The sequence below is a fragment of the Homo sapiens genome, chromosome Y, assembly GCF_000001405.40.
Source record: "Homo sapiens chromosome Y, GRCh38.p14 Primary Assembly".
Classification (NCBI taxonomy): domain Eukaryota; kingdom Metazoa; phylum Chordata; class Mammalia; order Primates; family Hominidae; genus Homo; species Homo sapiens.
Genome location: NC_000024.10, coordinates 22,058,114 through 22,085,087, shown reverse-complemented (window position 1 = coordinate 22,085,087; position 26,974 = coordinate 22,058,114). Strand labels below are relative to the sequence as shown.

Sequence of the window (26,974 nt, the reverse complement as noted above, 5' to 3'; positions counted from 1 at the left end):
CAGAAACTTTGTTTCCCACAGTTAGTAATTATGGGTTGTTGGTTTAGACCAAAGATAGGGCCAGAGATGAACAAAGAATATTGGGGTGCCCCTGTGGTAACAGCATTTTCCAGCCAGCAGGCTTGCTTTACCTGCTGGGAAGAAGGATGTACCTCAGAGTCCCACAAAACCTCTTCTCCCATCTTATCTCTTTTAGAGAGACATGAATAAAATGGGCCTCAACAATCCCAAGAGACCACTCAAGGACAATGGGAGCCACTGGGCTTGGCTTTCTACTTTCCTGGAGACAAGACAATTTGAATGGCACTGACTGCCAGGTACTGTCATCATATGGGCCATGAGAACATCTCACCTGTTCAGTACCCCTCTACATTTTAGTGGGGACTAGGACATGGAATATGTGTAGGGATGATAGTGCCCTGTCACTGGGATCAGGACAGACCACAGGGAAGGGGAAGCTGCCAGCAAGGAGCCTGGGTCAGGGGCCAGGTTTGGGAAGCAGTTTCCTCTGACCCAACACTTGTTCCTGCAGCTGGACACATTACCTAAATTTATGTCTATTTTGGAGAATGGTGAAAACAGACTTAGAAAAAGACACTTGTAGGCCGGCCACCTAAAGACAAACTCAGCTGTCATTGTGGTGTGTTTATTTTTAGTATTTTGTTTCTTTTGCTTTTCTCATGTTTCTGCTACATATCAGTACTTTTTTGAGCAGCCTCCCTGCACTCTGTGATCTTTACTTGATGAGGAGGATCATTTAAGAATAAGAAAACTGGAGGCTGGCCTGCTGTGGATCTGTTCTACATTTAGGGCTGTCCTAAATCTTGTCTGGCCTTCACACCATGTGCACATTTGCTCCTCCTTTCCACATACCATTAGGATATTAGCATCTTTCTTGACACCTCTTGGGCCTGCTTCCATTTAGATCCTGCCCTGCCCAGGTATGTGTCCCTAAGCAGGTTCATGTGACCTTTCACCTGTAAAATAGAGATGGTGCCAGGATCTGCCATGGGGATTTTTGCAAAGCTTAAGTCAGGCTGGTTGTCAAAAGCCTAAGAGTACAATTGAGACACAGTGAGCATTCATGAAATACCAATGCTTTATTATCAAGTGCTGCCTAATAGTTCTTGAGGATCAACCATCATTTAATCCCATAACTATTAAGCTCTTGATAATTGTTTTCCTATTTTCAATACTGGAGAACAACACTTCATTGAAGGTCATTGTAAATAAAGTGCTAATATATTATCAGTTTCCAGTAATAAGCTTTATTAAGCGCCTCAAGGGGGCCAGGTAATTCAGAGCCTGACCCAAGTCTTTGCAGCCACAGGGAAAACGGTAAAGGCATGTAATTTGTTATATCCTGGGGTCCACAGCCACCAGTAGCCAAATTGAAACAGGAACCCACATTCCTGAGCTTGGCTTCAGTTTCTTTCCAGGTCCTACTGCTCTGGCCTGAGAGAGCCTCTGCCCACCAAAATACGGTGTTCTCTGTTTCCCACAGGCCACTGCAGGGTGGCAACATGTACCAGTAGGGGCCCAACCATGATGTCGCCACCCTCCCCCTCATCTTTCCTGCTCATTACCTCTGCCCTCTGGCTGCTTGCAGTAACATGATGGACCCCTCTATGGCTGCACCTGCATCATGGCTGGTTCCTCTAGCATTGGCATCCTCCAAGAAAATTTCCTTCCAGACTGTGCAGTTGGTCTACTGCTAGCGGCTGGACTTCATGATGCACTGCAGACACCTCTGTGGCTGTGTCTATTGATACCCTTGCTGATGGCTACACGTGGATCTGCTTTGGACAGATCTTGAGTTTTTGAGCTGGATGTGGTGATTACTTGAGTCTTGTTTGAGGGAGTGGAAGTGTGGGTAGAGCTAGGATTTTCTGCTGGAATCTGTGGTGTTTAATTAGATGTGGAACCCGTACCCTGGAACAGAGAATCTTCCTAGAGTCTCTGACACCACAAATTACTTCCCATATATTTTATTTTGAAAATAAAAATATATGCACATGACTGAAAAATACAGAGATGAGGCAAGGGTAACTCAGAAGGAACTGCCACCATGTGCACCTAACCCTAGTCCCCTGAATTACCTGTTAACACCTGGTACAACAGAGGAAGGCTGAGTTTCTTAGACTTCTGACCTTTCCTCCACCCTCACCCAATGATAGAAATATCATGATTTTAGTTTCTTTCTTAGTTATCATTGATGTTGAAAGTAACTGTAGAGTATATGTATATTTATGTATATATTTTTTCAATCCAATGCAATAGAATCTTGTGACTTTCTTCTTGTAGGAAGTATATTGGCACTTTGAATTCACCTACATTTCTTGGTATTCTATAGGTATATACATATTTTTTCTTTAGCTTTCTCTTTTCTTGGAGTTTCTAATTGCCTTTTCTTCTTTCTTTCTATTTAAAATTAAATTAAATTAAAATTAAATTAAATTTAAAATTAAATTAAATTAAGTTGGAACTAAATTAAAATTCAAATTAAATCTCCTTTTATCACATCCTTATCATCTTCCCTCATTTCTAACCTCCCACCTGAAAAATCACTGGTGGACACCTTCCGTTTTCCTGTTCCTATCCCACCAACATCTCTCTAGGCCTGGGGTGGAGCTGTCATTCCCAGAGCTTTTATAACTGCCTCCCTGGGTTTTTACATGTCAAATGCTATTTCGCTACTGCAACTATGGGACAAATCTCCCAGAGAGCTAACCACTTTTCTTAGGTTTATTTTGTTAATTGTATGTGGTTTTGAAATATTTTTTAGATTCTGTCTTCCAATTTTTGAGAGTTACACATTTTAAGAGAATTTCAAGCTGTTGTTCCTAATCTCTGAATTTTCCTATTATCTTCCTAAATTTTGTTATTTTTCAGGGATGCAATATTTTATACTTCTCTGAGACTACGGGGAGCATGTGTTCTGAACTTTCCTTGAACAGAGGTCTTGAGGCCAGAAGGAAGAAGGATCTTAAAGACTCATTTCTCTGGAGGTGAGTTGTCTGTTGATCATATTTGCCTTTGTTTGTTTTTTTTGTTTGTTTGCATTTTTTAAAAACTGTTGGTCTCTCACGTTTGCCTCTGTAATTAGCATTAAGGCTGAAATGGGGATTGTCACACGCTCATTTCACATTGGGACAAGAGGAACTGGCCTTCAAACCAGGGGCCTACAAATGGGAAGGATGATTTCCTCTGGGAATCCCTAAGCTTCCTTCTTTCCTCTGCAGAAACCTTCACCTTCAGTTGCCCTGCTGCTTCCTTGGCATGGCGATGTTCTTCCTCCACTTGCAACCTGATCACACAACTGTGGACATTGTTCTCATGGCTTTTCCCTTCTCTTTGTCGTGAAGAGAGAAGATGCAACCCGTTTCTCTACTATGATGGAACCAGAATGTCCATATTAGAACTTTAACATTATTTCCTCTACATCAGAGGCCACATTGGCTTCTGCCTGAAAGAGGAAATTGCAGAAAACAGACACAAGGATGGGAAGGTCACATTGACATATAAAGTTCCTGAGGGGCAGCTGGGTATTGTGTTAGGTGGTCACTCTTCTGTTCAGGAGGAAGGACTGTGTGAGCCTTTCCCAAAGGCCTGTTCAGTGTCTGAGCTCAGGGCCAACTTAATTTCAGTGTGCAGCCTTATAGATTAGGAAAAGAAAACAATCTGCCTCATCAGGTCTCCTGCCCAACCTTATTCCTTGCTCTGGATCATGATTGCTTATTTAAAAACAGCTTTGTTGGCATGTGATTGGCATATGGTAAACTGCACCTGTGTAGATGGAAGAACTGATGGTTTCTCCATGTGAGTATTTCATTCACCGCAAGGCCAGAAGTGTGATGAAGGTCATGAAAACACATCTTCCTCCCATCAATAACGATCACTCCCTGGCCACCCTAGGACCACAGATCTGCTTCTTTCACTAAAAACTTGTGGGTATTTTATAGAATTACAGGTAAATACAGTATGTACTTGGGTCTTTGTGCGTCGTTCTGATCTGGCTTCTTTTATTCAGCAGAACTACTTTCAGAGTCACTCTGTTCTGAGTGCATCAACAGTCCATTCCTTTTCATGCTGAGCCACATGCCATTGTATAGATGTGCCACAGCTTGTTCACCCTTCTTCTGTGTATGGGCATTTGGGCTCCTGGTTTGGGACCATTATGTGTAAGGATGTCATGAATATTTATTTATGTATGTAGCCTGTGAGCTTGCCTTCATTTCTCATGGTTCATTCCTAGGAGTGCAGTGGCCACATCATGTCATGGTAGGTCTGCATCGACCTTGTTAAGGAATCACTGTCCCTTGTGCTAAGTGTTTGGTCCATTGCCTGCTTTCTCTCTTGCTCCCTCTGATTTAGTCATACAAACCTCTTGTATCCTTCACCCTCCAGGGCAATAACTTCTTAGCATACCGCCTTTCTTTACACTTGGAATCACCAGCTCCTTCTTTATGTGCTGGCTCTGATTCCCTCACTAAATTTGCCCTTTGTGCCCCATGTGTGACCCATTCCCATTGATACACCCTATGTATGAGAGGGCTTTGGGATAAGAGACTGTTTCTGATGAGTATCGAGTACTACAATGGCTCTGAATGGAAGAAAGATGACTGGGTGGGTCTTGTCAACCATTGTCCCTGGAGCTCATCTTTGTTGTTACAAATAAGTCTGGGTGTGGCCTGGGCATATGTTCAAGTACTCGCAAACCTTTTCTAAATGACAACTGGAGACCAGGCCATGGGCTGGAATGTGAGTATGAAGTTACTTGGAAGCTGTGTGATTGAAAGTGAGTCACTCAGTCACTGGATCCTGGCATTTTTCTCTACATGTGGGACTACCCATACTTTGCAGAGTTGCTGTGAGTTCACCTGAGTAAGACACCTGCATGCACTTGTGATCAGAAAATGTTAATTTCCCTTTATTGAAATGGAACAACCCATGGATATTATGTGCTGAGGTCTGGATCAAAATAGAGCATGATACTGAAGACCTTGTAAACCCTGAGGAGGCATCACTGATCACTGGGTGTCCGGAAAGGCAGCAGAGAAAAACTGACCTGGAAGTGAAATTGGCCCGTGGGTTTGTTACAGTTGGTTAAACAGTCATGAGTGGGGCAAGAGCGGGTTCTCCACATCCGCATACCAGGAATGTCAGGCCATCGGGTGATGGTTGGACAGTTATCATATTGCTTCTCTAAAAATAATAATTTAGCGGCTGGGGCCAGGGATAGCCTGATACACAGCTGGTAACATTAAAGTGTTAATTAAACTCACATGCCAGAGAGGAGGAAAAAGGGCGTCCCATAAAATCTCAGACATTGGATGACTGAACCCAGGAGTGCACATTAAGAGACAAAATGGTGGAGTATGACTTTCTGGGGTCACCCCACCAATAAAAGGGAGGAAGCCTCAGATGGGCATACATATAACTGCTTAAACACACTGTCTATACTTACTTCCCAAGGGTAACGAGGGCACTGTGCCTGTGGGCAGCCCATGCTAGGGGAAGAATCATGGGAAAGGGTGCACCAGATGCTGGCGGTAGGCCAGCCTAAAATGTCCCAGAAGGAAGGTTAATGGCCACACTTCTTCAAGTCACCCATTTGGATCTCTTTCGAGTGCAATTTTCATTCTTTCCTGCTCTAAAGCTTTTTAATAAACGTCCACTCCTGCTGTGAAACTTGCCATGGCATTTTCTTCCTTCTTCCTTCTTTATGCCCACCAGTTGAATTCTTTCACCTGAGGAGGCAAGAATTGATATTGCTAAAGACCCGGACGGATTTGCTGCCAGTAACTCAGATACTTTTCACTGGTAACAGGTCTAGGAGCTGGTGGACACAATGGCTGGAGTATGTGTCCAGAATGTGCCTGCTCAGGCCCCAGGCACTTCCGGACTGTGGGGGGACTTGAACCCCAGGTTAAGGGGACACCATGGAATGAGAGCTCAGCCTGCTGTTGGAATACTGGGGATAGGATATTTTTTACTGAAGTAAATCCCCTACCTATTAAGGAACTACTACCCAATCTGTCCTCTTTCTGACCCCTGACAATTAGCAAATCTGCTTTCTTTCTCTATGAAATTACTTATTCTGGACATTTATATACATAAAATCATACACTATGTGACTTTTGTGCTTAGCTTCTTTAAACACAATGGTTTTGCAGTATCTTCACATTGTAGTATGAGTGTCTCAATCTTTTTATGGCTAGATATTATGCCATTGTATAGGTATACTACATTTTGTTTTCCTATTATTTGTTTGTGGACATTTGGTTTGTTTCCACATTTTAGTTATTGTGAATAATTCTTCCATGAGTATATGTGCACACACAGTTTTGTTTGAATACCTGCTTTATATTTTTTGTGTATATACCTGAGGTGGGGGGGATTTGCTGGTTTCTATGATGGTTCCATGTTTAGCTTTTTGCAGAAACACCAAACTATTTTCCACAGCAGATGAACTATTTTACTTTTGTTTTTCTCCACTTCCACGTCAACCCTTGTTCGTTCATGGTTTTTAAATAATAATAATTACAATGGGTGAAAAGTGGTGTCTTCTTGTGGTTTTGATCTGCATTTCCCTGAAATAAGTGATGTTGAGCTAATTTTTATGTGTTTTTGTGTGTGTGTGTATCTTTGGAGAAAAGTATTTTCAATTTCTCTATCATTTTTTTAATTGGGTTGATTGTCTTTTTGTTCTTGAGTTGTAAGAATTTCTCCTATATCCTGGATACTAGGCCCTTACCCTTATATATGACTTGAAAATATTTTGTCCTATGCTGTTGGTTTTCTATTGACCATCCTGATAGTGCCCTTTGAAGCATGAAAGATTTTAGTTTTAATGAAGTTCAATTTATCTATTTTTTCTTTTGTTTTCTGTGCATTCTCTGTCATACCCAGGAAACCATTAACAAGTTCAGTGCCAATAAGCGCAGAAAGATATGTTCGACATCATTAGCCATTAGGTAAATGGATATCTAAATCACAATGAGATTATCACCTTAAACCCACTAGAATGTCTTTTTTTTTTTTTTTGAAAAAGGGAGAGTTGGGGAGTATGTGGAGAAAATGGAACCCTTGTGCATTGCTGGTGAGAATGTGAAATGGTGGTGATGGTTGCACAGTAACATGAACATACATAATGCCACTTACCTGTACACCTACAAATGTTTAGATTGGTAAATTTATGTTACGTTTCTTTTACCACATACCAAAAAGGCTTCCTGAGAACTAGTCCTGAGATAGTTCCATGTGGAAAGAAGAGGACCCTTCTCTCTCCTAGAGTGAGTAGAAGCCTTTGTTTTTTGTTGCTGTTGTTGTTTTGTGTTTGTTTTTGTTTTGAAACAGAGTCTTCCTTTGTGGCCTAGGTTGGTGTGCAGTGGTGTGGTCTCTGCTCACTGCAAGCTCCAACTCCCATATTCATGCCATTCTCCTTCATCAGCCTCCTGAGTAGCTGGGACTAAAGGTGCCCACCACCATGCCTGGCTAATTTTTGTATTTTTAGTAGAGGTAGGGTGTCACCGTGTTAGCCATGATGGTCTCAACCTCGTGACCTAGTGATCCACCCAACTCAGCCTCCCAAAGTGGTGGGACTGCAGATGTGGTGAGCCACCACATCTGGCTGAGTAGAAACCTTCTTATCATGCTTGTACTACACACTCCTGGCTCTTCCACACACCAAGCATGACCTCACGAACCAGAGGCAGTCTAAGTCTAACTGGCCCATTTGTACCCCCTTTCCAACATCCTATTCCCCTATTCAACTCACTCTCTTTCCCCTACAAACCACTGTACATCACAGGTCTGCTTACCTTCTCTGTAGACATTTCTATAATGTCATAGAAATATGATCATAAAATACATGATCTCTTCAGACTGGCACTTTTTGTTATTATTGTTTTCTCATTATTCTATAATTGCTGCCAAAAGAAGCAGGCATGTGCTGTGCCACAGAAAACCGATCATATTCTAAGCTCTACTTAGTAAAAACTAAAAAAAAAGAAAGAAAAAAATATGCTAGTACATATTGTCGCATTTATCCTGTTATTTTTTTAATTCATGATTTCTACAATGAATAAATGGATGAATAAAGCACACAGATATTATGCTTTGCCAGTCCAGCTGAACATCAAGCTGCTTACAGACTACAGGCAAATTATTGCAAACAGTTTTGACTGTGGCCCCAGCCAGCTAGTGAGACTTGCATTTATTCAGTAAGGATTAATTGACCAAGGCTCTAGTTAACACCACTAAAGGGTAATTGACAGTGTGGACTTCCCAGTTAGAAAGCAATTTAGCACTGTGCTAAGTCAAATATTAGTCTTAGGACCACATGACTAAGCAAGCTACTTAGGTAAACACCCCGCATTCCTTTGTTTCTACTCTAACTTATTTAACTAAAGGTAAAAGGCCATCCTGTCTAATATGGTGAAACCCCATTTCTACTAAAAATACAAAAAATTAGCTGGGCATGGTGGCGGGTGCCTGTAGTCAAAGGTACTTGGACTCAGGAGGCTGAGGCAGGAGAATGGCAGGAACCTGGGAGTTGGAGCTTGCAGTGAGCTGACATCGCAGCACTGCACTCCATACTGGCCAATAAAGCGAGACTCTGTCTCAGAAAACAAAACAACACAAAACAAAACCAGTATTCATCACTAAAAAAAGTAGCAAAATATAAAGACCAACAACACTATGAAGAAAGTGGATCAATTAATATGCAAAATAACCAGCTAGTATTGCCATGCCAGGATCAAATTGACCCGTACAAATATTAACCTTAAATGTAAGTGAACTAAATTTGCCAATTAAAGTGCACAGACTGACAAATTGGATAGAATCAAGACCCTTTGGTGTGCTGTATTCAGGAGACTGATATCATGGGTGAAGACACACATAGGCTCAAAATAAAAGGATGGAGGAATATTTACAAAGCAAATGGAAAGTAAAAAAAAAAAAAAAGCTGGGATTGAAATCCTGCTCTATCCTAAAATGACCATACTGCTTAAAGTAATTCACACATCTACAGTGATCTGATCTTTGACAAGCCTGACAAAAACAAGCAACTAGGGAAGGATTCCCTGGTCTGGGAAAACTGGCGAGCCATATGCAGAAACCTGAAACTGAATCCCTTTCTTACATCACATACAAAACTTAACTCAAGATGAATTAAAAGACTTAAATGTAAAACCTAAAACCCTAAAAACCCTAGAAGAAAATCTAGGCAATACCATTCAGGATATAGGCATGGGCAAAAACTTCATGACAAAAAGACCAAAAAACAATTGCAACAAAATCCGAAATTGACAAATGGGACCTAATTAATCTAAGGAGCTTCTCCACAGCAAAAGAAAATATCGTCAGAGTGAACAGGCAACATACAGAATGTGAAAACATTTTTTCATCCTATCTATCTGACAAAGGTCTAATATCCAAAAGCTACAAGGAACTTAAAAAATTTTATAAGAAAATAAAAAACAAACCCCAACAAAAAGTGGTAAAGGATATCAACAGACACTTCTCAAAAGAAGACATTTAATCAGCCAACAAATATATATAAAAAAAGCTCAGCATCACTGAGCATTAGAGAAATGCACATCAAAACCACAATGAGATACTGTCTCACATCGGTCAGAATGGTGACCATTAAAAAGTCAGGAAACCACAGATGCTGGCGAAGATGTGGAGAAAAAGGAATGCTCTATGCTGCTGGTGGGAGTATAAATTAGTTCAATCACTGTGGAAGACAGTGTGGTGATTCCTCAAGGATCTATAACCAGAAATACCATTTGACCCAGCAATCCCATTATGTGGTATACACCCAGAGTATTGTAAATCATTCTACTCTAAGGAAACTGCTTATTGCTGCTAGTGCTGCTTATTGCAGCACTATTTACACACAAAAAAGACATGGCACAAACCCAGATGCCCATCAATTATAGACTGGATAAAGAAAATGTGGCACATATACACGATGGAATACTATGCAGCCACAAAAATGAATAAGTTCATGTCCTTTTCAGAGACATGAATGAAGTGGAAACCGTCATTCTCAGCAAGCTAACACAGGAACAGAAAAGCAAACACTACCTATTCTCATGCATAAGTGGGAATGGAACAATGAGGACACAATGGGGCCTGTCAGGGAGTAGGGGGTAAGTGGAAGGAGATCATTAGGACAAATACCTAATGCATTCAGGGCTTAAAACTTACATGATGGGTTGATGGGTGCAGCAAACCACCGTGGCACATGTACACCTATGTAACAAAACTGCCTGTTCTGCACATGTATCCTAGAATTTAAATTACAATAAAAAAAGGCAGGTTTAATGAAAAACTAAATAGTATCCATGAATTTATGATGACTCCCTATTCGGTTTTTACTTAATGCTTTTTCTGTGTTTCGTGTCTGGAGGAAAGCAAAATAACAACATATTGACCCAAACATTTTAAAACAACTTAATACAAAGGGGTTGGAGCAAATTCTTTTATCTCTTTATGAAGACAAGTGTGAGTTAAAAACCAACTCTCCTAATGCTTCTCAGTGCCTCAAGGTGCTTAGGAAAAAAATAAAACTTCCAACTTAAGGATACTTGGCAGCTTCCAGAACTTTAAGGAAAGCCGAGAAATAAAGTATCCAGCTTCCGGCTCTTTCTAGGAGAGTATGCCTAGTGCCTTCAGGACCCTTGGACCTTGGAGGAAGAGCGGAGGTGGGGTAGGTGGGGGCGGTCTCTGGAGCCACTTGCCGCTCTGGCAGCCACTGCTGCTCCCCATGGGACGGCTTAGAGTCAGCCTTCAGCAGAAGCAGCAGGCTTTCCGCAAGCAGTGTTTGGTGTGTCTGCCTGTTTTCCATCTCTGTATCTTCCTTAGTGATGTATCTACTCAGGTTTTTACCTTGGAATTGGGTTGCTTATCTTTTTGAGTTTTAGAGTTTCTGCATATGTTGTGCATACAAGTCACTTTTCAGATAAGTTTGCTAAATTTTTCTATCTATGGCTGTGGCTGGTTCTTTGGTTCTTTTTTTTTTTTTTCTGAAACGGGGTCTCACTCTGTCACCTAGGCTGGAGTGCAGTGGCGCGATCCTGGCTCATTGCAAGCTCCGCCTCCCGGGTTCACGCCATTCTCCTGCCTCAGCCTCCCGAGTAGCTGGAGGTGGAGTCTCATTTTGTCACCCAGGCTGGGGTGCAATGACCCTATATGGCCTTACCGCAATCCCCACCGCCCAAGTTCAAGGGATTCAAACTCCTGGCTCAGACTCCTGAGCAGCTAGGATTACAGGTGCACGCCAGAACTCACAGTTAAATTTTTGAATTTTTCCTAGAGACGGGGTTTCACCGTGTTTACCATGCTGATCTGGAATCCCTGTCCTCAGGTGATCTGGCCGCTTCGACCTCCAAAAGTGCTGAGATTACAAGCTTGAACTGCCATGCCCAATGGTAACAGAGTGTTTTACAGAGTAGACATTTCAACTTTCAATAAAGTTCATATTATCCGTTTTTTTTTCTTTCATGGACTTGATAATAACTCATCACTAAACCCAAGCTCATGAAGATATTTTCCAATTACAACTTTGCACTGAAAAAATTTAATGTGTGGGTATTTTTGACTAATTTTTTTAACTGTAAAATTTGTGTCTATGTTCATTTGTTTCCGTATAGTTTCCAGCTGTTTTCTTGCCACTTGTGAAAGAGACTTATTGTTTCCAAAGGACATTCTTTGCATTTTCGACAAAATCATTTGACTTGGGCCTGTTTTGGGGCTGACTATTCTGTTCCACTTATCTGCTTGTCTATTAAATCATGAATGACACACTCTTGTTTATTACATTAGCTTTAGTGTAAGTATTCATATCACATCTGGCATTGCACTTCTTCAGTCTTATTTCATCTATTCTAGGTTTAGGAAGAGTTGTTGATATATTTACCTGGAATTTGATTGGAATATAGCTGAAATAATAATAAATGTGCTTCTCCAGAACAAGAAACATCTATTTATTTACTTTGTGAGAAGGAGTTGTGTCACCCAGGTTGGTGTGCGGTGGCATGATCTCAGCTCACAGATTCTCCCACTTCAACGACCCAAGTAGCTGGGACCACAGGCATGCACCACCAAGCTCAGCTTATTTTTTTTGTATTTTGGGCAGAGATGGGCTTTCACCATGTTCCCCAGGGTGGTCTCCAATTCATGGGCTCAAGGTATCTGCCTGCTGCAGACTCCCGAGGTGCTGGGATTACAGGCGTGTGACAACGTGCCTAGCCTGTCTGCATTTGCTAACATTTCCTTTGATTTCTCCCAATGGTGACTCATTGTTTTCTGAATGAATTCTGCATATTTTGTTACAGTTATACTTAATGGATTCAATTTTGCGGGTAGTATTGTAAATGGTGTTTTAATATTTCAAAATCCAATTATTTATATTCATTATTGCTGATATAGAGAAAATCAATTGAGTTTTGTATATTGACCGTCTTCTTTGCTTCCTTTTATCTCCATTCTAGATATGGGAAGGTTGGCTGTATCTCACTTCCACTTCGTGAGATGACCGCCTGGATTAACCCACCCCAAATTTCAGAGATTTTCCAAGGCTACCACCAGAGGGTGCACGGAGCTGATGCACTGAGCCTGCAAACCAACTCTCTGAGAAGCAGGTTATCTTCACAGTGCCTCGGACAGAGCTTCCTTCTCAGGACACTCGAGAGAGGCCGTGGTTTCAGGGCACTTGGGGACATCTGTGGCCACGTTCATGAAGAAGACTAAGCCTACTTCATCTCAGGACCCGCCCAAGAGTGGCCGCGGCTTTGGGACACCTGGGGTCGGGTCCACCATGAGGATAAAACCTCCTTCTCTTCTGGACATGTCCAGGAGTGGCCGTTGCTACAAGTCACCTGGTGCTACGACCAGGGTGAGAATAAAGACGTCTCCTCAGGACCCTCCCAGGAGAGTACATGGCATTGAGACATCTGGCGGCCAAGTGAGGAAAAGACACCCTGTCTGCAGCACCCAGAACTGAGGAGGGGCACTGCCCTGGGCCTTACTTCCCAGCCCTGGCCTCCAATTCTGACCTTACAAAAGTGTCCCTTGAGTGAGGCAGTGACCACGCATTGTCACAGCTACCAAAGTGTGGTTTGCAGATGATCTGGGCTTGTTTCTGGCAGAGATTCTGGTACAGAGAAAGGAGAGGCGCTGAGTGGAACCACGATGGGCTGAGGCCAGGGGAGACATCGCAACCTCCAACAACACTTTTTTTCATGCTTTAATAACTCATTTTTCTTAGAGAACTAAAGTAGTTGAAACAATATAGAAACATTTTTTAAGTAGGCATATTAGAACTTGAATTATTATGTAAGTTTAAATATATGATATATGCCTGGTTAGCAACATTTTTTCTTTTCCTGAGACAGTCACAGTTTAACTGAGAGTGCATTTGTAATGGTAATGTAAATGTCTGCTTTATACATATTGACATCCTACATTAGCTGAGATATACTAACAATATCAAACTTTGATATTATGCCATAAAATTAGTTGAAGAATTCTGATCCAGATATGAGTGACAAATGGTCCATGACACATCCCTACTCAGGAGATCCTGAGAACATGTGCCCCAGGTGGTATGTTCACAGCCTACATTTATGCATTTTAGAGAGACCTGAGACATCAATCAAACACATGTAAGATGTACATTGGTTTGGTCCAGGAAGGATGGACAACTTGAAAATAGTGATGGTGTGGGGCTGGGCTTTCAAGTTACAGGTAGATATAAATATGTTTTAATTGGCAGTTGGCTGAAAGAGTTAAATTATTATCTAAAAACATAAAATCAATAGACAGGAATGACTGGGTTACAATAAATAATAAGGGCTGTAGAGACCAAAGTTTTATTATGATGATGAAGCCTCCATGTAGCAGGCTCGAGAAAATAGGTGGTAAATATTCCTTATCAGATTTAAGGTATGTGTTGCTGTTAGTGGTGGTCAACTTTTTCTAAAGTTCAAAAGGGAATAGTATGTAATGAAGCATGTGTGTCCCTCTTTCTTGTCAGGAAGTGAAGCAATTTTGGAATGCTCTTGATCAAAAGGAGGGGTCCATTCAGATGGCTGTGGTTGGTGGGGGGACAGGAGAGTTAATTTTTTTTAACAAGTGTTTCATTTCTGTTTACAAAAGTATAACCTATTAAAGTGTTATAAATTATAATTATCTAAGAGAAAAAAGGGATTTCTTAAATCTAAAAACATAGAAAATAACCTAACCCATCAAACCTTATGGATTTTTTTTTCTTTCTGTTTTTAAAGTTGCCAAGGATGCTTTGCTTGTAAGTCATATATTTGACCTGTTGACCATCTGGGTATAGTTCTGTTGCTTCTTCAAAAATTGTACCCAGCAACCTTCCAAAAGTGTTTTTAAGTAAATTTCTTAAATTGTAGCAATAAACAAAATGAAAAGACAATATTAAACATTACTGAGGTTTATCAAAGGACATACAAAATTTCAACTCTTATTCCTTTCCTTCTTCTTCTCCTTTTATTTTTATTTTGAGACAGGGTCTCATTCTTTTTCCCAGCCTGGAGTGCAGAAGTGCTATGATGGCTCACTGCAGCCTCTAACTGCTGAGCTCAACTGATCTTCTGCCTTAGCTTCAGTTATCATATCTGGCTAACTTTTTGTATTTTTTGAGAGAGACAAAGACTTGCCATGTTGCCTGGACCTGTCTTAAATGCCTGGACTCACATTATCTGCCTGCCTTGGCCTCCAAAAGTGCTGAGATTACAGGCATTAATATAACATTTATGTTAGGGTTAGATAAAAATCAATCTTTTGGCTAAGTTATGAACATGCATATTATGCAATTATATATGTCTAATTTTCATCATTTTCTATGTCAACATTACTCATTTTAAAGTCATATTCAAGGGGTAAGGCAAAACCGCCTATGAATTGGCATATTTGTTTATTTCTCTGTTTGTGAAAATGTCCATAGTTTTTTCAGAATACAAATAAATTTCAACTCTGTTATGCAAAAAAACAGAATAGAATCTTCTTTGCAATTAATTTTTTTCTTTTATTACTATACTTTAAGTTTTAGGGTACATGTGCACATTGTGCAGGTTAGTTACATATGTATACATGTGCCATGCTGGTGCGCTGCACCCACTAACTCATCATCTAGCATTAGATATATCTCCCAGTGCTATCCCTCCCCCCTCCCCCCACCCCACAACAGTCCCCAGAGTGTGATGTTCCCCTTCCTGTGTCCATGTGATCTCATTGTTCAATTCCGACCTATGAGTGAGAATATGCGGTGTTGGGTTTTTTGTTCTTGCGATAGTTTACTGAGAACAATGATTTCCAATTTCATCCATGTCCCTACAAAGGACATGAACTCATCATTTCTTATGGCTGTATAGTATTCCATGGTGTATATGTGCCACATTTCCTTAATCCAGTCTATCATTGTTGGATATTTGGGTTGGTTCCAAGTCTTTGCTATTGTGAATAATGCCGCAATAAACATATGTGTGCATGTGTCTTTATAGCAGCATGATTTATAGTCTTTTGGGTATATACCCAGTAATGGGATGGCTGGGTCAAATGGTATTTCTAGTTCTAGATCCCTGAGGAATCGCCACGCTGACTTCCACAATGGTTGAACTAGTTTACAGTCCCACCAACAGTGTAAAAGTGTTCCTATTTCTCCACATCCTCTCCAGCACCTGTTGTTTCCTGACTTTTCAATGATTGCCATTCTAACTGGTGTGAGATGGTATCTCATTGTGGTTTTGATTTCTGCGATTAATTTTATAGTTACCTTGCATACAGGGAATGTGCTACCTATAAAAAATATGAACTGAACCACAGGCCTTAAACACTAAAAAAAATTTAAGAGTTTATTCTAATTTATTTTATCCTATAAATCAATTGTATTTATATACAATATAGAAAGTTCACAGCCATCAACAGTTCTACTGCAGTTTCAGGTGAAATGGGAATTTAGGAATTTCTGTGGAACTGTAGGCGCAGTGAAACATTTAGGTAAAATATGTGTATGCCTTTAGCAGCACTTGTGAAGGGACGTCTCTCAAATTAAACTCAATGCATTTCTTCTCAGCAAAATGACCTGGGCCACTCTCCCTGGCTTTCACTGTTGCTGATGTTCATGCATGTTCTCTTTTTATCATTAATTTATGACTCTGAAGATATCCATTTGACATCGTGGCATGAGGGCTTTCAAAACCACTGTAGATTTTCTACTCTTCATCCATTATGTACTTAAGTATTTCTACTTTGACTCCCCAGGAACTTGAGTAGTTTCTGCTTAGCCCATGGACAGTGCAGCCCAGGTCCCAATAAAGCAGCACAGACCCCACTCCAAGGCCACCCCCAACCCCAGCTGCCTGCTCCTGTGTGTTCAAGGGAAGTTGGAGAACATGCAGCTTGTTGTTTTTACAAATAAAATTGTTGTGTTAATTTCATTTTCATATCATTTATTGCTAGTGTATACAAATAGATTTTAGTGTATTGATATATATACTGTATGTTTGTTTAATTTGTTTATTAGATTTTATTATTTCTTGTTGATTTCTTATGATTTTCTGTATATGAGATCATGAGATCCATGAGTAGGTAGTTTTATTTTATTTTTTGACATATGAATGGCTTCATATATATTTTTCTTTTCCAATTATTTCGGATGGAACTTCTAATACAGTATCAAATGCAATGATGAAAGTGAGCATCAGTGCTGTGTTCTTCATCTTAAAGCTTTTGTTCCCAACAATTCAGACGCTGATTGTTATGGGTTTTGTATAAAGACGTGTTATCATGTGAAAGACATTTTAATCACAGTTTATTGGATGTTGTTATCAGTAAACATGTTGACTAACTTTAAGTATTTTCTGTAACAGTTGAGATATACATGTACTGTTTTCCCAGCATTTAATTTACATGGTATATTGAAGAGGGATGGCTTCAGAATGTTAAAACAAGCCTCAATTTTCTAGAAAAAAAACGTAATCACATAGGTGCATAATGTCTTCCTCGTGTAGTTAATTCCATGTACTATTATTTGGTTACATAATCTAATGTCTCTAATTATCATATTTGTTAACATTTAGTGTTTTGTCCCAGTGACATCATCTGTTTAATTCAATTTTCAATTGGAGTTAAGAGGTAAGGTTAAGTGTACTCTTATGGGCATTAGGGGTTAGAGTCATAGATGATATATTTAAAATTCTTTGAAGGGTGATATGATAATATTAAGAATGGGATAGAAGTTTGGGATTAGGAATAGGGGTTTACAATTGCAGAAAAAAGTTTAGATTGAGGGTTAGATCTGGGGTTGGGTTAGAGGTCAGTGTTGTGGTAGGATTAGGGTTATGATTAGGATTAGGATTAGGGACAGGGTTAAAGTTTAGTGTTATGTTTAGGGCTACAGTTAGAATCAAGATTAGATGTTAGTTTTAGGGTCAGGTTATGTTTAGGTTTAGGGTAAGAAATAGGCCTACAGTTAGAGGTTGTTGTTAGTGTAGGGTTAGGTTCTGGCTTAACTTCATGGTGAGGGTTAGAGTTAGTGCTTAGGGTGAGAGTTAAGGTGACGGTGAGGGTTAGGGTAAGAGGGTTAGTGCATTAGCGTTAGGGTTTGGGTTTAGGGTTTGTGTTAGGATAAGAATAAGGATTCGGTTTAGGGTTTCAGGTTAGCATTAGGGTTAGTGTTTAGGGTGCAGTGTTATTTTTAGGGTTATTGTTTAGCATTTAGGTTAGGGTTAGGGTCACTTTAGGGTTAGGATGAGGGGTTAGTGTTTGGCCTAGTGTTAAGCTTTAGGGTTAGCGTTAGGGTGGGTTTAGTTTTAGGGTTAGAGTTCAGGGTTACAGTTGGGATTGGGTTTATTATATGTGATTATAGTTAGCATTTAAGTTTTAGTGTTAGAGCTATGGTTGCAGTTGCATTTGAGGTTGTGGGTTAGAGTTAGGGTTAGGGTTAGTGTCAGGATTAAGTTTAGGGATATGGTCAGCATATTTTTAGAATTAGGGTTGGGGTAGGAATTTGGATTAGGGATGTTGGTTATGTGTTATGCTTATGTTTTTAAGGTTAGAATTTTAATTTTCAGGTTAGAGTTAAGGGTGCTTTTAGGGTTAGGTTTGAAGGAGCTTTAGGGGTCAGAGTTAGAGTTAGGGGTTAGGGTTCAGTGTTTAGAGGTAGTGTTAGAGTTAGGGTTTGGTTTAGTATTTCTGTTAGTGTTTTTCTGAGTGTTATGTTTAAGGGTAGATTTAGGGTTTGGGGTAGATTTAGGGTTAGGGGTAGGTGTAGGTGTATGTTTAGGGTTATGGGTTGCGGTAGGGTTATATTTATGGATAGGGATATGTTTTGTTAATGGTTCAGGTTGGGTTTATGTGGAGATTAGGGTTAGGGCTTGAGGGTTATTGTTAGTGTTTTAGTGTTAGTAATAGGGGTTATATTTAGGGTTAGACATCTTTTTCACCCATCTTCACCCGACTAATCAGCACTCTCTTTCTGACTTCTGAGGTTCATATGCATTCCATACGTATTTAGATTATTTGTTTATTTGTTTGTTTGTTTATATATGTTTGTTTATTTATTTATTGGAGACGGAGTTTCACTCTTGTTGACGTGACTGGAGTAGTATGGTTTGACCTCAACTCACACAACCTCCGCCTCCCAGGTTGAAGCGATTATCCTACCTCAGCTCCTGAGTAGCTGAGATTAAAGGCATCCACCATCACACCTAACTAATTTTGTATTTTTATTAGAGACACGGTTTCTCCATGTTTGTCAGGCTGGTCTCAAACTTTCAACTGCAAGTGATCCATCTGCCTTGGTCTCCTGAATTGCTGGTATTATAGACAAAAGCCACCATGCCCTGCATCAGACTTTGAAATAACCTGACTTAAAGTGGATCTACCAACAATGTGCCACCTCTTCACTGTGAGTTGTACACTTCTTGGGATTGCACGGCTGCAAATGGATATGTCTTCTCCAAACTTAAAGCTGCAGATACATCTCAACAACCTTCCTGCAGATAGACGCTACCCACTCTGAAACTTCTCTCCACTGAAGCCTTCAGTGATGTTTTAACAACCTGCTTCTTCATCTTGTCTCTCTTGGCCCTGTCTTCACTGAGTGTTGCAGAGATGCAGGTATTTCCTGTTTTTGAAATGGACTTACCCACTTTCTGTCTCCTGAAAGCTGCGCCATCACTCAATAAAGCATCTATTTACCCTAATTATTCTCCTGTTTTCCACATACATAATTCTCCCTGGATATGCATCAAGAATTCAAGACCCACTTAATGGAGAACCTGAAGATTAGTAACAGAAACAAGGCTGAAACACAGAAACCCACACTTAACATCAACACAGATTCTATTCCTTGTGCTGAGACTCAGATTTTTTTCGGCACACCACACTCTCTCATTGACCTGTTTTAACTTCATCTTTAACTTTACAGTAAATAAGGGCATTACTTTTCTCTAGCACAACTGAATTATATGAGGCAAAGTCCTTAATTTGAGTCATAACCACTTGGGGGAAAAGTTGCAGTCCAAGACACCTGAGAGACCAGGTCTCTGGCACATGCCTCCCATGCTTTCAGCTTTCTCCCACCAATCAACATTACATTGGCCTATGCTTCACCCATCATCTTGGGAAATTTAATGGTAAAACAGCAACCTGGACTCTGTCCAAAGGTCATAGAAGCAGTTTAAAACCAAGCCTTTTTGTTAGCCTAAACCAAATCACAAAGAGGAAGTATGGATGCATCTAGTCAAATGGCTGGGCTATTGGCTGATACAACAATAGGCTTCTTAAACTGAATGAAACTATTCACAATGTTCTTTACAGTATCCACTCTTTCAATGCTTTCTCTGTTTCTGTCATTTCTTAAATGCAAACAAAATCAAGACCTCAGCAAGGGACGCAGCCATCTGCACTAGGCAGCATAAGCTTCCTGTCATCTGCAGCAGCCCTATACAGAGCATTCTTGATTTTTTTTCATTACTTCAATATTTAGTGAGTTGTTCTCTGTCAATCTCATTGATAGCACTTTCTGGGTAAAGCCATCATTTTCCCTCACCAAAATGTTTCTGAGTCTACTGGCACTTTCTATTAGCCTTATGGTTAAATACATCCTTTTGATAAAAGGCTGGTCTTTTTCATCATCAATAATCTCTCTTTTCCCCCCTCTCATGCTTGGAACAAATGTATGGATGTTTTTTTCTTCCATTGGCTGTTTATGGAATTGCTAATACCAGTGTACCTTCCTTGTTAGCTGAGCCCGTAACCATGGAAGCAGTAACCGAGCCAGACCCCTGAGACATTAGTGGGTGTATCTTGCACCTGTTCTCTTCTCCAGTCTGTTCTGCATCAGGATATTTATCTTTACCTTAATCTTTGTTTATTTGTACTGCTGTTCGATGTCCTTTCATTTTACCCTGGAATAATACATAAGGCATTTATTAAATGGTTGTCTACTGGCAAAAGAATGTGGCTTTTATTTAGGAATTTCATAATTTCTCCCTCATTTTTGATGGACACTTTGTTTAAACATAACATTTGTTTGAATTTTTTTTTCTTACTGCATTTGGAATATATGAGTCTACCCTGAGTTTTCAGATAAGAAATTCCTTGATTATTTATGAGGGGTTCTTTCATACATTACTGGTCAAAATTTCTTTGGCTGCTTTCAAGATTCTCTTTGTCTTTATTTTAGACAGTTTAACTATCATGTATGTTTGAATGTGCCTCTTTGAGTTTATTTTACTTGGAGTTTGTTCAGTTTCTTCGGTATTTATTATCTTAAATTTGTGACAGGTTTGACCACATTTTTTTAGTCTCCCTATTTCTTTGTTTCTTTTCCTTGAACTTCCAAAATGGATAAGTGGGTCTGCTTGATGGTGTCACACTGGTTTCTAGACTGTTTTCACATTTATTTATTTATTTTTTCTCTTCCTGACTTAATAATTTCAATTGCCCCTTTTATTCGATTTGGTGACATTTTCTTCTGTATGCTCAAGTCTCCTTTTAAATGTCTGTAGTACTTATTTAGTTAGTTATTTATACAATTTTTTTTGAGATGGAGTCTTGCTTTGTCACCAGGCTGGAGTACAGTGCACAATCTTGGCTCACTGCAACCTCTGCCTCTCGGGTTCAACTGATTCTCCTGCCTCAGTCTCTTGAGTAGCTGGAACTATAGATACGTGTCACCACACCCAGCTAATTTGTGTGTTTTTAGTAAAGATGGGGTTTCATCATGTTGGCTTGGATAGTCACAACTTCTTGACCTTATGATCTGTACCTTGGCATCCCAAAGTGCTGGAATTGCAGGCCTCTAGTCAATTTTAATGTCAATTGTTTTATTTTTCATCTCCAGAATTTTTTTTTTTCTGAGAGCCACTGGAACTGGCCCAGAATTTTTTTTTTTTATGTTTGAAAATAAGTTGTCATGCTTTTCCAAGAAACTGTATTATTTTAGTTTCAATCTCGTTTCTTTGAACCTAAAGTAAGACTTGCATAGAAATCACGAGTGAATTGTTCTTTTAAAGGTGCATTTGTGCCAGTCTGTGTGTTTTTATGTAAGAGCTCACATTTAAAGTTATTACAAGTAAAAAATTACTCTGACATTTTACTTTTTTTCTATATGTTCTTTATTTTATTGGATCCTCAATTTCTCCTTTGTCCATTAAAAAATGTTAACTTTTTAAAACTTTTTTCTGTATTTTTATGTTATAATTCATTATATTTGGGACTTTAATTGTATTCTAAACTTAATAGAGCCTTCTTTGAATAATATTAACTTATTTGAATAATCTAAATTTTAATTTCAACAATATAAATATATGCTGCTCTTGTACTTTTCTTTCTCAGTTTATATTATTGTCTCAGATTTTATCTGCACACACTGAGTGTCCATTAAAGTAAATTTGTAATTTTTTATGTAATAGCTGCCTACCAGAGCTGTAATAGTAATAGCTAACTTTGCCAGAATTGTAATAGTAATAGCATTTCTTTTTTTTTTAGAGAAAGGTTAACCATACATTGAATACATTCCATTAGCATTATGAATAAGAGTGATATATAAACTATTATTTTTTAAATACTGGATCTGTATTAACAAATCTGTTATATTGTCTATTGTAGGAAATAACTGTATTCTTTGCTTTCAACAACTTAAAATTTTGTTTGTGACCAATTCCTGGCATTTTCAACCAAGAGTGACTTCTGAGTTTGGCAAAACAGTAATAAATATGTTTCATCAATTGTTTATTTATCTTCTAGAAAGACTAGAACAAACACAATAAATTAACACACAAGTGCTTCTTCACTCCTCCCAGAATTAGGAACCAGGGTTTAAAATGGAAAATGTGGATTTCAATTTTGAAGGCTTCATCTGTGCCTGGGAGGCAGTATGGCAATCTAAAAAAAATTTACTACTTTAAAATTGTCTCTTTGGATGGATTCCTTGGTTGATACAAACAATTGATTTACAGGGTTCAGACAGTGTTTGATTGGTGTGATGTTTCTTTGAATGGTTCAAAGCTGCCAGGCCTGCAGTTTTGCCTGCGTTTTTATTTGGGAAGCACTGATTGTTTTGTAATCTCAGAGTTTATTTTTATTTAGGAGATCTATGTTTTTGTCCCATGAAAATGTTGTTTAAAACACTTAAATTGAAAGTTACACTTTTAATTTATGTTTCCAGTTGTTAGGTTTTTGTTTTAGTGGTTACGGTATGAAGTTTGTTGTTTGCTTTCTATTAATTGATATTATCAATTTAGTATAAAGGGCAAGGGGCAATATTCTCTTATGTAGTACATCTTGGTTTTATGTAAAACATGTATATATGTAACAAACCTGCACGTTGTGCACATGTACCCGAAAACTTAAAGTATAATAAAAAATAAAAACAAACAAAAAGTATAAAATAATTTGTTTCCAAAGTGACTTTCAAGTACATATCTAAATAAAACAATAAGGGAATAATTATGTAAGCATGCAGCAAGATCTACAAGTGTGATGATCTCTGGCAGAAGCCTGTATAAACAGTTTGAAAAACGACCAGGTCACTGTGGATGGAGCAGACTGTGGAAGGAGCAGACTGTGGAAGGAAAACGATTGCAGACAATGAGCTCATGGGGGTAACACAAAGTCCATGTGATTGTCTAGGGTTTCTACAGGTCAGTAGATTTTACTTGAGTTTTACTCTAAGCCAAGTTCATGACTGGAAGTGGAATTGGTAAGGTTGTTACTAGCATCTAGTGCCAAGAGGCTAGAAATGCTGTTGAATATCTTAAAATCTAGTGTCAGGCACCTTTGAGCAATTAACAGTATTGAACCATCTCTCCAGAAAATTGTAAACAAAAAAATAGGAGCACACTTTTAGAACAATTTGATTTTATATATTCACAGTCACTTAACTCAAAATCCCTGGTTTCTGTAAATCGGAAGGATTTTAAGAAGCTCTTTTAAAGTTCAGTTGATTCAAGTTAGGGTAAGCGTTAGTAAAGTAAAGTCAGTTCAGTTAATCAATAATTAGAAATTAAACTATAGGCCGGGTGCGGTGGCTCACGCCTGTAATCCCAGCACTTTGGGAGGCCAAGGCTGTCCAATCACCAGGTCAGGAGATGGGGACCATCCAGGCTAACTTGGTGAAACCCCGTCTCTACTAAAAATACAAAAAAAAAAAAAAGAAAAAAAATTAGCTGGACATGGTGGCGGGAGCCAGTAGTCCCAGCTCCTCCGGAAGCTGAGGCAGAATGGCGGGAACACCCGGGAGGCAGAGTTTGCAGCAAGCTGAGATCGCGCCACTGCACTCCAGCCTGGGCAACAGAGCGAGACTCCGTTTCCAAAAAAACAAATAAAAACAAAAAGGTAAACTAAATATTTCCTTTTTCTCCCCTTTTCTTTTCCATTATTTTTAAATATTTATGTAAAACGCTAATATAGCAAAATAAAACCCTAGGCACACTCTATTTTTGAGATACCATGGAGAAAACTGAATCAAAGCCTTTTGGGATAGAGCTAATCCGGAATACGACTGGAAGGCATACAGAATACAGATGCACACATGTGCATTGGTACACTACATTATGCATACCCATCGAGCGTAATGATTGCCATAAGACAAATATTAAATGTCTCTTATGACAGAAAAGTTGTGAAGATTTTACAATAACCAAGCCAAATGAAAACCAAGATTTCAAGGATTATAGCCAGGGCTAGATAATTCTAGGTGTTGAGTAGAATGAATACTCAAGCATCTTCTAGGGGAGGCCATCACTGTTGCCATAACCAGCGCAGGGATTATCTCTACAGACACAGGTGGAAGGGCTCATGGCAGCATGAACTTCATTTTTCCTGGATGCAGGAAAATAATATGAGATCACCTGAATGGCAGGGCTGAATGACCTGGAACACAAACGGGTAGAAAACATTCCCCTTGCTTATCACATTGTGGTAGACAAAAATAAAACGAGAGCTGTGGCCCTTCAGGGCGCACAGACCAGGGAGCTCTCAAAGCCAGGGAGGGCTGTCACACCTTCCTTGGGGCTTTGCCTTTTCTGGCATCTGCAAGCTTCTGGGCATCACTACATTCCCCAGTATCAGCTGTGGAGGCTGCTTGCAGTAGGCCTGGCCCAGTTGCAGCTTTTCAGTGATCTAGCAGTTCTGTTGGCACCTAAAACTTCCTGACCTGACACAGCTGGCATGACTGACCATGTCTAGAGGCTGGAAGCCACACTTGCTCATACACCTCTCACCACTCATCCATGTTTGCCCTTGGCAGGTGATAACTCCAGTAACTCCAGCTGGGTGTAGCCTGCCAGGTAGTGTGGGTAGAACAAATTTAGCAGGCTTGATTAAAGCTCAGGGAAAGGCCCCACTGGCCACAGAGGATTTCATCTGACAAAGTGACTCCCCTAAAATCCCATTGCAAAAGCAGCATAGCTGGTTGTGTTTAAATGACTTACTTCTTTTAGTTCTTGAAATACTGAAAATTCAGTGTCCTACATTTTGGATTTTTTTAACCTTATTTGGAAATGATTATATTTCAAAATTTTTACAAAATCAAATTTGAAAGATTATTATTTGCATTGAACCACCTGATCCATCTTATGTATACTGCATTTTTTTTTAAAGACGGACTTTCACTTTTGTAGTCCATGCTGGAGTGCAATGGCATGGTCTCAGCTCAGTGCACCTCTGCCTCCCAAGCAGCTGGGATTACAGGCACCCACCATGGTGCCTAGCATGGCATTGGGCTTCAGATTAGCATTCTTTTAGTAGATTATGAAGCTTGCTTATGAAACAGTATTTCTAATTCCTGGACTTTGACATTTTGTACTTATGTAGTTTCTGTTTGGGAGGCACTTTTGCTGGGCATTGTAAGATGATGAGCGCATTTCTGGCATTTTCTGTTAAATGCAATAGTAACATCATTTTTCTGTGGTTGAAATACCCTAATACGTTTGTGTCTCATGGAATCTAAATTGTTGACATTTACTATTCTAGAGAGTTCTGAAGAATAAATTAAAAACCACTTTTTAAAATGTTGCAGATGCCAGGAGGGGTGGTTCACACCTGTAATCCCAGCACCTTGGGAGGCTGAGGCAGTAGGATCACCTGACGTTAGGAGTTCTAGACCAGCCTGGTCAATAGGGTGAAACCTCTTTTTCACTAAAATTACACACACGCACGCGCGCGCGCGCGCACACACACACACACACACACACACACACATAGAGAAAGAAAAATTAGGTGGGCATGGTGGTGGACAGCTGGAATCCCGGCTACTTGGGATATTGAGGCAGGAAAATTGCTTAAATCCAGGAGGTGGAGGTTGCAGTGAGCTGAGATCACACCATTGCACTGCAGCCTGTATGACAAGAGCAAAGCTCTGTCTTAAAAAAAAAATTGCTGAAATTTTATATGAGATCTCATTTTTCTCTAACTTTTGGCTATTCTGCCATCCTGACATTTTCTCTAACTTGCTGCTGTTCTAACATTCTGTCATTTGTGAAATAAACCAGGATGTCCTGCATGTACTGTGGAACTTAATATAAAACAAAATTAAATTAATTAAATAAAAATAAAACTTTTTTTTCTGGATGTGGGGTTGTAGTAACTTTGAAATGTGTGCACACTTTATTTAAAACATTTTGTAATTAAAAATCAGAGTTGTCACAAACTGCATTGAAAAGTTAAATAAGTAGTACATCTCAATTTTTAATTGATTGAATTTGTTTTCTTTTATTTTTAGAATGATATCTCACATTGCCTCTTTGGCTGGAGTGCACTGGTGCAATCTTAGCACACTGCAGCACCCTGCTTCCCAGCTTCAAGTATTTATTCTTCCTCGGCTTCTTGAATAGCTGAGATTACAGGTGTGCACCACCACACCTCATGTGTTTTTACCATATTGGTCATGCTTGTCTCAATATTCAGACCTCAAGTACTCTGCCTGCCTTGGCTTCCAAAAGTACTGGAATTACATGTGTGAATCGCCATGCCTGGCCCCTGATTGAATTTCTAATTGAATAAAAAAGTCCATCTTGCAAAACCTTATTTTCTACATCATATTTTTGATGAGTTTCTTTATATGTCTCATAATTCAAGAAAAATAATATAATTTTAATGTATTATACTTGGAAATTAATTTATTTTTATTAATATGTAACTAAAATAGTAGGTATATTTAGAATGTTATTTTGCTTTGGTGTAAAGTTCTGAAGTTTTAGAAATTTCTGTAAAAATCTAATTTGGATAATTAGTTACATTAGTTGATTGCACTCAGTTTTTTTTCCTCAGGATTTTCTTTTGTAAGAAAATTCAAAATTGTTTCAAGATACATTGAGATGTTTAATTATGTGAAATAGACTTAAAGGTATTTTCTTTGAAAATAAAGTTTTTATAACCTGTCTTTTCTACTAATAATATGTGATTACTTCTTCTAACTTACTAG

At 39.3% G+C, this 26,974-nt stretch overlaps 1 long non-coding RNA gene and 2 pseudogenes across 1 annotated transcript; 1 reads left to right on the top strand and 2 right to left on the bottom strand.

Moving 5' to 3' along the window:
• The first annotated feature begins 212 nt into the window (after positions 1 to 212).
• PRY2 (PTPN13 like Y-linked 2) lies at positions 213 to 13,382 on the top strand. Its single transcript, NR_197360.1, has 3 exons — positions 213 to 317; positions 2,893 to 3,008; positions 12,507 to 13,382. It is a non-coding gene; the product is annotated as a PTPN13 like Y-linked 2 (long non-coding RNA).
• ELOCP15 (elongin C pseudogene 15) lies at positions 15,937 to 16,268 on the bottom strand (annotated as a pseudogene).
• CDY12P (chromodomain Y-linked 12 pseudogene) lies at positions 19,283 to 20,491 on the bottom strand (annotated as a pseudogene).